The 13,184-nt window shown below is 41.3% G+C and overlaps 1 protein-coding gene across 1 annotated transcript in view, besides 5 other annotated features; it reads right to left on the bottom strand.

Annotated features, from left to right (window-relative positions):
- MYRFL (myelin regulatory factor like) overlaps positions 1–13,184 on the bottom strand; it is a 133,871-nt gene that overhangs the window by 67,558 nt on the left and 53,129 nt on the right. Inside the window, exons 3-7 of the mRNA NM_182530.3 lie at positions 12,445–12,512; positions 12,087–12,345; positions 11,248–11,339; positions 4,570–4,720; positions 374–569 (exon numbers count right to left, since the gene is read on the bottom strand). Coding sequence (NP_872336.2) covers positions 374–569; positions 4,570–4,720; positions 11,248–11,339; positions 12,087–12,345; positions 12,445–12,512 — 766 coding nt within the window. The remainder of the gene's footprint in view (positions 1–373; positions 570–4,569; positions 4,721–11,247; positions 11,340–12,086; positions 12,346–12,444; positions 12,513–13,184) is intronic.
- Positions 5–205: a silencer, noted in NCBI's record as "peak1788 fragment used in MPRA reporter construct". NCBI's record gives its function as "represses an SCP1 promoter by STARR-seq MPRAs in K562 erythroleukemia cells {active_cell/tissue: K562}" and the evidence as "EXISTENCE:reporter gene assay evidence [ECO:0000049][PMID:32103011]".
- Positions 11,778–12,315: an enhancer, noted in NCBI's record as "H3K4me1 hESC enhancer chr12:70273005-70273542 (GRCh37/hg19 assembly coordinates)". NCBI's record gives its function as "activates a minimal SCP1, AML or CMV promoter by ChIP-STARR-seq in naive H9 embryonic stem cells {active_cell/tissue: H9 hESC(naive)}" and the evidence as "EXISTENCE:reporter gene assay evidence [ECO:0000049][PMID:30033119]".
- Positions 11,817–12,111: a silencer, noted in NCBI's record as "tiled region #6106; K562 Repressive DNase unmatched - State 8:EnhW". NCBI's record gives its function as "represses a minimal TATA promoter and a strong SV40 promoter by Sharpr-MPRA in K562 cells {active_cell/tissue: K562}" and the evidence as "EXISTENCE:reporter gene assay evidence [ECO:0000049][PMID:27701403]".
- Positions 12,211–12,260: an enhancer, noted in NCBI's record as "active region_6655". NCBI's record gives its function as "activates an Ori minimal core promoter by ATAC-STARR-seq in GM12878 lymphoblastoid cells {active_cell/tissue: GM12878}" and the evidence as "EXISTENCE:reporter gene assay evidence [ECO:0000049][PMID:35858748]".
- Positions 12,316–12,853: an enhancer, noted in NCBI's record as "H3K4me1 hESC enhancer chr12:70272467-70273004 (GRCh37/hg19 assembly coordinates)". NCBI's record gives its function as "activates a minimal SCP1, AML or CMV promoter by ChIP-STARR-seq in naive H9 embryonic stem cells {active_cell/tissue: H9 hESC(naive)}" and the evidence as "EXISTENCE:reporter gene assay evidence [ECO:0000049][PMID:30033119]".

Genomic DNA, 13,184 nt, shown 5'->3' with positions numbered 1-13,184 from the left:
TCTTGCAATGTTTATCCTTAGAAGCCAGCCACCATGGTGTGAAGAAACACAAGCTATCCCATAGAGCAGTTCACATGGAGAAGAGCTAAGCCCTGTCAGTTAGAGCCCCATTTGAGCTCCAGCTGATGGCCAGCCCAAACTCAACAGGCATCTGAGTGCTTCTTGAAAATGGCCCAGTTAAGCTGCCCCAGTTGATGACTTCTGAACAAAGATGAGTTGTCATAGTCACACGCTGACCCAGTTGCAGATTTGTGACCAAAATAAAGGACTGTTATTATTTTAAGTCATTTTGGGATAGTTTGTCATGCAGCAATAGACAACTGAAACAAAATAAATGTTGACTGATATAAACTGAACTAAATAAAAGACATACCTTAGTGCCAAAAACTTTCAAGTAAAACATTTCTATTGGCTTTAGGCCCATCTCGGTTTCAACAAATTTTGGACTTCCCCAAACTTGGATGTGAATGGTTATCTGGAAATGATTCTTCTTTTGGCAAACAAAAGCTTCATCTGCTGGTGAAAAATTAAATCCTTTGTCTGTTACAACTCGATAGCCCACATCAGGTCTATGAAAAGAGAAACCAAGAAACCAGTTTTACAAATGTTTCCATATATTTATTTTCATTAACAGTATTAGTTGTATAAACATTTCAAGAAAACGTACTGTGAAAAGTGCCTTTTGCTATATTTAATCAATTGATTTCTTGAATTTTTAATGAGGAAATAAAAATAACATTTCAAAACACAGCTGGCTGTTTCCCAGCTTTTTATTTTCTCACAAAGAAGTACAATCTTTCTTTTTTTGAGACAGTCTTGCTCTGTCCCCTAAGCTGGAGTGCAGTAGCACCAACTTGGCTCACTGCAACCCCAGCCTCCTGGGTCCAAGCAATTCTCCTGCCTCAACCTCCTGAGTAAGCTGGGACTACAGGTGCACACCACCACGCCCGGCTAATTTTTGTATTTTTAGTAGAGACAGGGTTTCGCCATGTTGGCCAGGCTGGGTTTCAAACTCCTGACCTCAAGTGATCCCAACCACCTCAGCACCCCAAAGTGCTAGGATTACAGGTGTGAGCTACCACACCCGGCCAGAAGTACAATTCTTGCCAAATGAAAGCATTATTTTTTTCAGATTGCCTTTCCCCTTTGTGTTTTTTAGACTTTTAATTTGACTCCACAACACAATAGAAATATGTAGGCTAGATGTTGAGAAGTCAACACATTACTTAGACTTGTGAAATATCTGGGGTGGAATTAATCTCTTTTCTCCTTTAGGAAAAAAAAGTCTCAAAATTTCACCAGCAACACCATATTTAAAAAGTCACTTGGATGAAAGAATATTCAGCCTATTGATGATCACATGAAAAAGCAGACTTAGCAGAATTACCAGAAATTCTCTTAAATCAACCAGAGCCAGTTATACAATCGATTGGAAACCTGTTTTCACTAGAGTATGGTCATTTCCTTTTTATTCTCCCAATTTGGTAATAGCACTGAAAACCTACAATGGTGGTTACTTCTGCAGAAAGAAATGGGATAGTGGCAGGGTGGCTAATCAAATTTTTGCTTTATTGGTTTTATCATTGCTATTTCTAATAGCAATGCTTTGTGTATATAAATTGAGCATCCCAAATCTGAAAATCCCAAATCTGAAGTGCTCCAAGATCCTAAACTTTTTTTTTTTGAGACAGAGTCTCGCTCTGTCGCCCAGGTGGAGTGCAGTGGCGTGATCTCAGCTCACTGCGACCTCCGCCTCCCGGGTTCAAGCAATTCTCCCTGTCTCTGCCTCCTGAGTAGCTGGGATTACAGGCTCCAGCTACCATGCCCAACCAATTTTTGTATTTTTTTAGTAAAGATGGGGTTTCGCCATGTTGGCCAGACTGGTCTTGAACTCCTGACCTCAGGTGATCTGCGGCCTTGGCCTCCCAGAGTGCTGGGATTACAGGCGTGAGCCACTGCGCCCAGCCGATCCAAAATTTTTGAACACCTACATGATGCTCAAAAGAAATGCTCACTGGAGCATTTCAGATTTCAGATTTTTGGATTAGGGTAAGTATAATACAATCTTCCAAAATCCAAAAAAGTTCCCAAATCAGAAATACTTCTGATCTCAAACATTTCAGATAAGGAATACTCAAACTGTAATAGGCTTAATAAAACAATTCTAAAATGTTAATAAAAAGAAAACATATTAAATGCATAACATTATCAAATAGAGAACATAAAAGTTGAAAACTTCTTTGATGAATTTTTCCCATGCATGATGAAAATATGCGGCAGGATTTCTAATTCATCAAGCTTCCTAAATGTGGGTTTCTTCTCAAGAAAGAAGCTCTCTGCAAGCAGAGGAGGGCATTACTCACTGCTCTACTACTGTACAGATCTATGCATCCTGGGATCTCAATTTGGATGGCTGCTATTATAATGAATAACACAAGAGTTTCTAAATTTTCCTCTAATTCCAGAAACAGAAAAAATTAATGGGTCTCTTGGGAGAAGAGTGTTCATGTTCTTTGCACCTTCCCAATGGATCAAGTTACTGAGTCATTGACTACCCTTAAGAAGCCAATCAGTCAAAGGCTCCACAATCACAGTGCCTACCAGCAGCAAAAAGAAAATCCACTGAATGAAGAATTTGATAAAGACTACACATCTTATGCCATCTGGAAACTGCTTATTGACTCAAGTTTCTAGAATTAATCTGCTAATTTGTTCATCTAAAGGCTAGATGGGTAGAATTATGTAGATTTTACTACAGAGGGTAATAAGAACCGTCTTAGTTGAGAATAAAACATTTTTGGTGATGTTTTATGCTTCACTGTCAAAAACTCTGAAGAAAAAAAGTACAGCTAAGATATGAGCGTTAGGCTGAAATTTAGGGCAGCAATAATCAGAAACGGAATCAATCAGTAAGAGTTATACTGTTGATGATTATTCTGAACCTTAAACACCAATCTCTGATTATAGAAATCTGCTTACCTAAGAATGGCGATTCTGCTTCTGATATCAAAAGTTAAGTATAAAGTCAATTAAACTGGCTTTTTAAAAGTTCTTTGATAGCATTGAAACATAATTCAGAAAAAAATTGATAAAATTTTAATGCCCTAACTGAACTGTTTTTAGGTTACTTAAGAAAATGATATTTTTGTAACAAATTAGACCTAACTATATAAGAAAAGATGGGTGTTTTTCTGTCTCATTGATATAAATAGTGAAATTAGGAGGGCCTGAATTCTAAACTGGGTAAATATTGCCTTCCTTTTTTGCTTAGGAAAAGTGAATTATGGCTAAATACTCAACATAAATCTGCCTCATTACTTTTGAGTTGATACCATCTGTGTTCTCCTTTGTTTCCATATACTCTGTGTTCTCCATATTTTTCTAGATTATTGGAGCCAAGATAGGCTGTTCAAACAAACTTAAAAATGTTTTCAAATAAGAAGAGGGATAACACTTACCTTGAAAACTTGATCAACTTGATGCATAGAGCCTGGGAAGCAGTTAAGTTTTAATTAAAGCATTGAGCCTGCGTGTGACAGTTTCATACCTCGGTGCTCATATTTCTTACAAAACATGGAATGTTCCCCAAAAGATAATCTAAGGAAGGCCAAGCCTCAAAGCCAAAACCCATGGACCCCTCATTTCTTTTTCTAATTGCACACAGTAGAAAAGACACAAAGTCATGACATTTCAATGATACAATGAGCAATGAGCTTCCTTTAGCTTATTAAACACACCAACTCCCAAAGTCTGTTTAACTCCCTAGATTTTCTTTTAAGGAAAATATTTCTTCCCTCTAGTACATCCACCATGAAAGTCCTAGTGATAAGCTTTACAGTATTTGAATTTGGAAAATTTTAAAATTTGAATTTGGAAAATTTTAACTTAAGTTATAGCCCAATGAAAATTCTAGAAGGCTTAAGTAGGTAAATTACATGCTAAGAAATAAAGAAGTCTAAAGGATGTTTAAGAGTAATAATATAGGATTGCACATTTATTTCTTGAAACTATCTTATGTCATAAAAATTGGGTGAAGCTTTTCCACTTTTTTAGGATGTTTTGTATGATTTGACTTCAGACTCCTTAACATAAAGAAACCATCTACCACGATTGCTGCAGGATATATTGTCAGTGAACTTGGTAATATTCATTCACAGCATATACGTGGGGGGTGGTCATTGGCTCACAATTTAATGTGGCCCCCAGAAAAGTATTTTATGGCATTATAAGTTAACTGCAGGATTAAGTGTTAGTGATTTGGGGAATGTTTATATTCCAGTTTTTAGTTTAAACTGGGCATGTGATCCCAGAAAGATTCCTTCTTTCTCCATCATTTAGTGGTTAAATTATAATCAGGTGGAACTATAAGTCTGGCTTTCTGAAGGCCAGAAACCCATATTCCAACTATTTATTTGTTAGGATGTAAAAAATGAGGAGTAAGACAGACACTTTCTCACTGATTTGCCCCACTTGACCAGAGGTGACATCAAAGCTCCAGTGCTTGAACTCAGTACTGAGATTTAGCACTGTCTTTCTCCCCTCACTCTCCAGCCCACTCAAGCCACTTACAGTTTTTCATAATGACTGTTTAATAAGCTGTGCCAAGGAACACTATGGCATGGTTGCCACTTCAGAGCAGGAGAGCACTGGTCTGTAGGCATTCTGTTCTGTCCCTCACTGTCAGGGTCCTGGACTTCACTGCTGCGACTCCTACTTGTCACTGCAAAGAAACAGGTGCGTCAGAGCCTTCCTTCCAGGCTGTTTTTCCTAAACTCACAGCTAGCAGCATGAAGCTGATGAGTGGGCCATGTGTAAGGCAGAGTGACTAGGGAAGTGTCATGTGCTGGGGGTAGGAGGTGTGTTGCTGACCTCATTTTCTCATCTGTGAAAGGAGCAGCCTGGGGTCAGCGTTGTCAAAGGGTGGGGGGTAAACACCTGTTGGAAACTTTGTCCCTGATATCTATCTACCCTACATCCTGCATAGCTTCTCCTCACTTTCAGTCTGTGTGGTTGCAGTGAAGTTCATTCCCAGAGCCGGGAGGATAGGTGACCCAGCTCAATCAACCAAAGTACAGCATTCAGTCCTTGCATCAGTAATTGCATCAGTGGTGGACATGTGGCCTATCCCAATTCAAGCAGAGTGGATCTCAGCACTTCAGGGATGCTCACTCTTCTCCATGAGGTTTGAACCTGCAAGATACATCGCCAACAGCTGCTGGCACCATTTTCGGACATGAGGGAAAAGCCCATCTGGGAATGATGCCAGCACAGCAGAAGGCAGAGTTAAAAATGAAGGGCACCAGTCCTCATGGTGTCATCTGAGTTCTGGGACCCAATTCTAAACCCTCGCGTTAACAGGAGCCAATAGTTCCCCTAATTTTGTTTTTTGCCTGTTTTGTTATTGTTGTTTTATTTTGCTTTTTTTGCACAAGGCAGTTTGAGGGTTTGCTTTTTTTTGAATTTTGGTTTGTTTTTGTTCATTGCAACCAGTATATTTTAATTTTGGCAGGTCTTTTGTGGCTCCAAGATTCTGTGGTCTAATTAGCTTTTTGAACTTAGACCAGTTATTTATTCACTTGGAGTCTTACTTCCCTCAACTGCAAAATAGAAATTAAAAACATGTATCCTGCCATCTTTACACATTACAGCATTACACAAGCAGAGAGAATGACATAATGGAAGTGAAAGCACTTTCAGAAGCTAGAACCAAGATAAAGTAACAGAGAAAATCTTGTTAGTGTGCAATATCAACTGTAGAAAACTGCCACTTTTCTATGTCAAAAATGGTCAAATAACAGCAATTTCACATGTGCAACCTCCTATTTTGCATAATCCTTGCAACTTGTCTTAATTTGAGTATGCCTCCTAAACCATATGGATTCAACCTCAGATAATTTTTATGTAAAATGGTATTGGTATGGTTGCTGTTCCCTTTTCTTTTAACTCCTCTACCATCACTCATGCCTGGCATCAGGAGGGAATGGGAAATAGTGGGTGTTTGTGAGACCAGGTGCGGCTCTCAGTAACAATGTACAAATAGGACATTAGCTCCTATTGAATGTATCCACCTAGCCCACAGCTTGGAGAATGCAGGAGAAAGGAGCTGGGTTGTTTTTTCATCTTCAAACTTTTCCTTTCTTTATACTTCCATTGAGGACTTCCTAAAATAAATAAATAGAGCTGCTTCAAGTTGCTTTTCATACCAAATGTAAAAAAAAAAAGTATTTCTCTTGGGGTATTGCTATTAAATGTCACTTAAGCAAAATATGCATTTTTTGTTTTTATAAAATGCCCATTTTAGAAAGATTTCTCAAAACACTGAAAAACTTTTTTTCCCAGCTACAAATACAGGAAGTGGACAATGCAAGGAGCTCTTCGTGCTCTCACTCCTCCAAAAGCTAAGTGGTCTAAAATATTTTTTTTTAAAAAAAAGAAAGAAACCCTTCTATGGTTATCCTGCTTACACCAAATTGAGAGAAAGAGAGAACATAATTCTTCCTTTTTTTTCTTCCTCTCTCCTACAATGAAGAAAGGGTCAAGAGCTTGGAGTTTTGAATCAAGACAGATCTGGGTTTGAATCACAACTCTACACTTAAGGGCCAAGCAATCTTACAAAAATGATTTAAGCTCTCTGAGCTTCAGTTTTTTCATCTGCAAAATGGGAGTAATCATGTTACCTTCCAGAGTTGTTGAAGGGTTTCAATGAGGCCATGACTGTAAAACGCAGAGCACAGTGTCTACCACTGGTAAGAGTTTAAACAATGGTGCCTTCAGCTATTACTAGTGGCACTGTCATTATCACTGTACTTGTTTCAACTTAGGTGGCTCAGTATTTCCTAAGAAGCCTTGGGAAATACTCCTGTTGTTGGCCTCCATGGTAGCTCTATCGAATGTGAAATAACTAGCCCATGTTCCTGACTGAATACTGGCTAAATCATGCCCTTTCCCACTCAAGCGTGGCAGCAAGGTCAATGTTCTCAGGCATGCAGCCAAAAGCCAGCTCCACTTCTCCAGACACTGACAGGGAGGGTGGACAGGGGCAGGGAGGATTGTCCTCAAAGACAACAGCATTTCCTGCCCTTTGTCATCACAACAGTAAGGGTATCACAGCAGCTGCTCCAATAGGGGTGACACAGTTGTGGCTTCCCTGGGAGATGGCTATAAGCTGGGAAAAGCCTAGGGATCAGAACCTGGAATTACAGGCCCACACTGAAACCCAAGGCACACACCTGAGCCTAGTGCTAGAACTTATTCATATTAATACTACTAACAATGTCTCCTACTTTGAGTGCTTTCTGCACCACAGGTGCTGTCCCAGACACATTACATAGTATTCCATCAGCTCCTTAAATTATCTCCCAGGTAAGAATCCTTTTGTTCCATAAACTTTCTTTTTTGAAGGACAGTGTACATCAAGAAGAGTACACAGATCATAAGTACACTATTTTATACTTTACAAAATGATCTAGTGGTATAGGATGCTTTGAGCCCTGCAGGAGACACCTACATGCCCCCTGTCAATAATTAGTCTCTCCTCCCCAAGACTGACCACTATCCTACAATCTAACACCATAGCAGAGTTTATATGGAATACTATGGAAATGGAATACTATGATGTAATATATACTCTTGTATGCTGGGCTGGCCTCTTTTTTTTTCTTTTTTAGACAGGGTCTTGCTCCGTCACACAGGCTGGAGTGCAATGGCACAATCATAGCTCACTGTAGCTTCAACTTCCTGGGCTGAAGCTTTCCTCCCACCTCAGCCTCCTGTGTAGTTGGGACCACAGGCATGTGCCACCACATCGGCTAATTTTTTTTTTTTTTTTTTTTTACTTTTTGTAGAGACAGGATCTTACTTTGTTGCCCAGGCTGGTCTCATACTTCTGGGCTCAAGCGATCCACCCACCTCAGCCTCCCAAAGTGCTGAGATTACAGGCATGAGCCACCATCCCTGGCCTCACCGGCCTCTTTTGCCCAACAGTATGTTTATGGGATTCATTCATTAGTGTTGCAAATGGCAGTGCTTTGCTCATTCTCATTGCCATATTGTACTCCATTGTATAAATATACCACAATTTATCTTGCCGTTGATGGCCATTTGGTATCTTTTTGGTTTGTGATTGTTACAAGTAATGCTGCTCTGGACATTCTTATGAATGTCTTTTGGTGGGCATATGTACACATTCCTGCTAGTTATACTTCTAGGGATGGAATCTATGGGTTGCAGGACATGCTTTAGTAGATACTGCCAAAAGGATTTCTAAAGTGGTTATGAGGTAAGGATTCTTAATCTCATTTAACAAATGTGGAAACTGACTTTCAAAGACCTGAAATAACTTGCCCAGTGTCACAGCTGTTAAGTGGAAGAGGTGAGATTCAAATCTTCCTCTTCGCTTCATGCTAGATTGAGGATCTCTTGAGAAAATCTAACAGAAGTGAGAATGTAAAAGCAGCAAACTGCCTAAGTCCAGACCTTTTGGAGAAAACTGATAGCTTGCATTTGAATGCCTTTCAAAATATGTTTGCATAACTTACTTTAAAAAGTCTTAGAGATGGGTAAAGTCAAAATTATTATTCTCGTTTCATAATCAAGAAAAATAAGGCTCTGGGAATCCCAGATTCCTGGAGAGATGAGATAGGTACATTTTCTGATGCTACAGTGTGAATTCAGCCAGTGCACCTCTTACTGTGGGCCACTGGCCATGACTCTAGGGCTGGAAAACCCTTTTGTATTTGAGGTTCAAAATAAGAGAAGATTGAAGCCTTCCAGGGAGGCCATGAACCCTTTTTTCATTTGGGGTTCAGACCAAGTAGGGCCAGGAACCAGCTGGTAGAAGCCTGCCTACCAGCACTTCCTCTCTAAGCAAAATTTTACATTTGCCCACGCCAACCCAGTAATTCTACATTTTCAGCCCTATAAATGAGGATCTTGGAACCCTTGGCCAAAGTGTACTACTTGGGAGGAGGTCACTAGAAAAGTTTTATTGATTGACTCAGGCCATCTCTGATCAAAAATTGGTGATCCTTCTGCCTGTAAGACTGGCATAACCTCCTCCTTCCTCTAGCAATGTGCTGTTTCCCCAGGACCTTTGTAGAAATGTTGGCCCCTGCAACATCAAATAGGAATTATTGACTAGAAAACTTTCGCTAAAAATACAAACTGTAATAAGAATGTGGCATTCGGATTAACTAAATGTTTTGTTTTGTGTCTTTTTTTTCTTTCTTTCTTTTTTCTTTTTTTGGCCTTGGGAACCTGCTCATTTTCATTCTGGAACTGTTGTCTGGAATCAGTTATCTTTAGTCAGCTTTTCAGTGACCTGTGAATAGGACTTAAACAAGGGATATAGGATTTCCTATCTGCTGGAAATCCTAGTAATTTCCATCACTCTTCCATGGTTGTTCTCTGAAGATGGTGATGAATCAATGACCTTTCTGGGACAGGCAGCAGAAAACCATCGCAGGATGGAGCTTAACTCTGGGATGGCCAGGACAATTTGAGCAGCAATCTGGTTTGATGAGGGAATTCTTGGAAGGTTTGAGTGACTTGTCCTGTATCCCTTAGTGAGCTAGCGCATCTGCAGTAGAATGAACAGATGGTTCCCCCGTCTGGCTAGGGATTTACTCAGCCTTTTATGTCTGAGAATCATAAAAAAAGCTACAGGCTAGATGTGGGGATCCCTGAAGAAATTAGGGTAGCATTGCATAGGAAGGTGGATGGAAAGCTCTAACTTATCCACAAATGGGGCTTTAATTAGCATTTTGTGTTTCTAAGGTTGGAAAAAAAATGGTGAACAACTGCTGACCATGTTGGATGCATATACAAAGAAAGGAGGCAGTTTGAGGTTTAGTTGATATGAGGGATAGATGCCCAGTGCAATTCTGAGACCGCACTCCCAGGAGATGGGTGGGACTTGACTGACAGGGTGAAGTCATCATCCACAGAAGGCCTCCACAGCCCACGCTGGAGCTGACGCCAAAGGTCCCTCAGAGAATCAGCTCTTACCATGGGGCTGTCAAAGGAAAAGGCAGCAGCCCCAGCAAGAGAGACTGTGTTTTTTCCCACTCAGGTGAAGCCACGCACATCTCCTTTCTGGACAGTGTAAACCTCTAGAATCTGGGGAAGTGGTGGGATGGGGGAACCCAAGAAGGAAGTCTTCAACCTCTTGCTAAGGTGACAAACTGGGATAGAAGAAATGGGACTTGGTACGCTGAATTTGTTCACACTGCCCACATTTGAGTGTTTACAGTTGCTAATAGAACTGGGTTGAGGCCAGACATGGTGGCTCATGCCTGCAATCCAAAGACTTTGGGAGGCTGAGGTGGGAGAATCACTCGAAGCCAGGAATTCAAGACCAGCCTGGGCAACTTAGTGAAACCCATCTTTACAAAACAAATAAGCAAACAAACAAACAAACAGAAACTGGCCTAGAGTGTTATCCTTTTCCCCTAGTATGTGCCATAGCATTTACTCTGAAAATTTTGAAGTTCAAGTCTTTGGACTTCAAAAGGCTACTTTGTTAATCAGGTCTCTTGGCTCAAAACATGATGTGTTACACGTTATATAAGACAAAAAAAAAAAAAAAAAACAGGAAGGCTGACCGCTTGGACATTAGATGACTCGGATGAAAGACTTCTAAAATGATTTCAAATTTCAAACATCCACTGGGAACTTGCCAATTTGAAGTGAGTTTGAGGAAAAGTTCAACTTTCCACCTCCCTGTTCTAGTGGAAAAACACGGTAAGTCTTGCTTCTCAGAGTGCCTTCCATGAGCCAGTAGCATCGCCATCACCTGGGAGCTTGTTAGAAATGCAGAACTCAGACCCTAGAGACTGAATCAGAGTCTGCATTTTACCAAGATCCTCATGCTATTTCTTGCACATTAAGGTTGAGAAGGATTGCAGCAATGCAATGGGCACACCAGCAGGCTCTTGAAGGCACTGCCATACTGCACAGCTTCCACAGGCCTGGAGCCTGAATCCTCTGAGACACATCGTCCCTGAAATTGAAAGATTGGCACTTCACCCACACCTGAGACGGGAAACATCATCTCTTCCTAGGAGGACCTGTGTGACCCCGCCTGCATGAAAGGTACATCAAGAGGGAAGAACCAAACTACCAGAGCTTATCATTGCTCTTCTGTGAGAGGGAAACTTTTGCAGGGCTGCTCAAAGGCTGGTAAAAAGCCTTGCTTTAATGCCCAAGGCTTTGATGGCATCGCCCTTGTTCCCACCCAGGTTTGCTCACTCGGTCTGCAGTGGCAGGCCCACACTCGGCATTCCCCGGAGTCCTCCAGTGCCTGCGTGCACTTTCTCTTCTTGGTTGGAGGCAATGAGGCTCTAAAATCAAGACACCAAAACGAAGGTTAGGATTCTTCCTTGTGTTCCATGTTATGTTAAATAAAATTTAATCTCCCAGGCTCTCTGCTTTCCTAAGTCTAATTCCAATTAGTTAAGGTTCCTTGAGCCCTACTAGGCTGAAACTATTTCCCTTGATCAAGTGGATCTGAGATTCACCAACCTGAAAGATAAGCTGACAATGTTTATAATGGCAGAGGACTCATTGAGACAGGGAAGATACAGACTTAAAATATAGGTATACATTTTACACCCGACAACTTTTTTCATGTGGAGTTTTACCACAATTTTTGATAGCCTTTACTCTTTCTGGCACTCTCTAGATCCAGAAGAGGAAATAAAAGAAAGAAAAGGGGAGAAGACAGAAGAAAAGAACATTAGTTAATGCTTAATTAGCAGATATTTCTCGGAGAGCTCATTCACAATCCCTTTGGGTAGTCTAGCTGAGGCTGCATAAGCTTACGGTGTTTCCTCCATCATCCAGAACCTCACTGTATATTTCTGACATTTTAGCTTTTGGTTGAATGAGGACCTTGGATTTGGAGGGTTTTTAATTAAAAGATTGTCTAAGCCAAGAACACTGGGACCTCGCGATGTCCTATACGCGTCTCAACACTGCCATCTCCTGGACAGGACTCCACTGTGCATTCTCTCTAGGTGCCTGCCAGAGGCAGGCTGCTCCGAGGCTTTCCGCAAAGGTCTTTGATAACTAAATATCTTTTTCTTTACCCAGGGCTGTGACACAGAGGCTGCTGAGGGTAAGAACAACCTATCCCCAGATGGGAGGACACGGATTGGTCCAGGGGGGTGGCAAGATGACTGGCGTTTGAGTGGCAGCTGTGAAAGCCTCCGTGGATTTGGCAGGAGTCGCCCATTCCAGAGGTGCTCTGCAGCGGGTGCATGGGCGGCATCGCAGGAGCAGCTGTGGGGTGGAGAAAAGGAGCTGGAGTCCTCCCAGCTGTGGGCCTCAGGGTTGGGTAGCATGCACCTGGGGAGAGACACAAGCAGGAAGTGCCCCTTTCTCACGGCCCAGAGTCGAGGAGGAAGAGCAACAGTGCCAGATGTGCTGAAGGTGGATCGCACTCACCTTTGACCTGCGGAGGAGAGCATGAGTCGGATGCAGAATAGGGCGGGGTGTCTGGGAGCTGGCGTTGCCTGAAGATTAGAGACATACATTGCGTTTTTGTTTCACTCTAGTCCATTATAGTTTTGTCACAAATGGGAGACAACCCTCAGTGTACAGCCCCCACAGTGATGGTTCCAGGTGCTGGGCATGGGGGGGTGAGGGGTTTGGGAAGTGAGACCCCAGCAGACCAGGCCCAAGGTCGTGTCCTGGTTAAGTGAGTGGGCTTTGGGTCCCAGCTCTTCCACTTCCTAGCTGTGTATCCATGAATAAGTACGTAACCTCTCCAGGCCTCCATTTCCTCATCTACAAAATGGAAATAATCATTACATCTACCTCACAGCATTGTTGTGAGAATTAAATGAGATCATGTATATAAAGCCCATTAACATAATGTCCCAAACATAGTGAGTGCCCAATAAAGTTTAATATTATTGCTTCTTATAAAGGACAAATATTTAAAGTGACAGATATCCCAATGGCACTGATTGAATCTTTACAAATTACATGGATGTATTAAATTATCACATTTACCCCCAAATATATATACATCTATTATGTATCAATAAAATTTTTTAAATAATTACTTCTTAATACTCCTATACCAGAAAAAAATGGTTGTACATACTGTTTGAGCTAACGAAATGTAAATTGCTGTCCCTACAGCAATGATTTTCCATCTGGGCGCAAAGGGATCCCAAAGC

Source organism: Homo sapiens, chromosome 12 (assembly GCF_000001405.40).
Source record: "Homo sapiens chromosome 12, GRCh38.p14 Primary Assembly".
NCBI lineage: Eukaryota > Metazoa > Chordata > Mammalia > Primates > Hominidae > Homo > Homo sapiens.
This window is presented reverse-complemented; position numbering and strand designations above follow the sequence as displayed.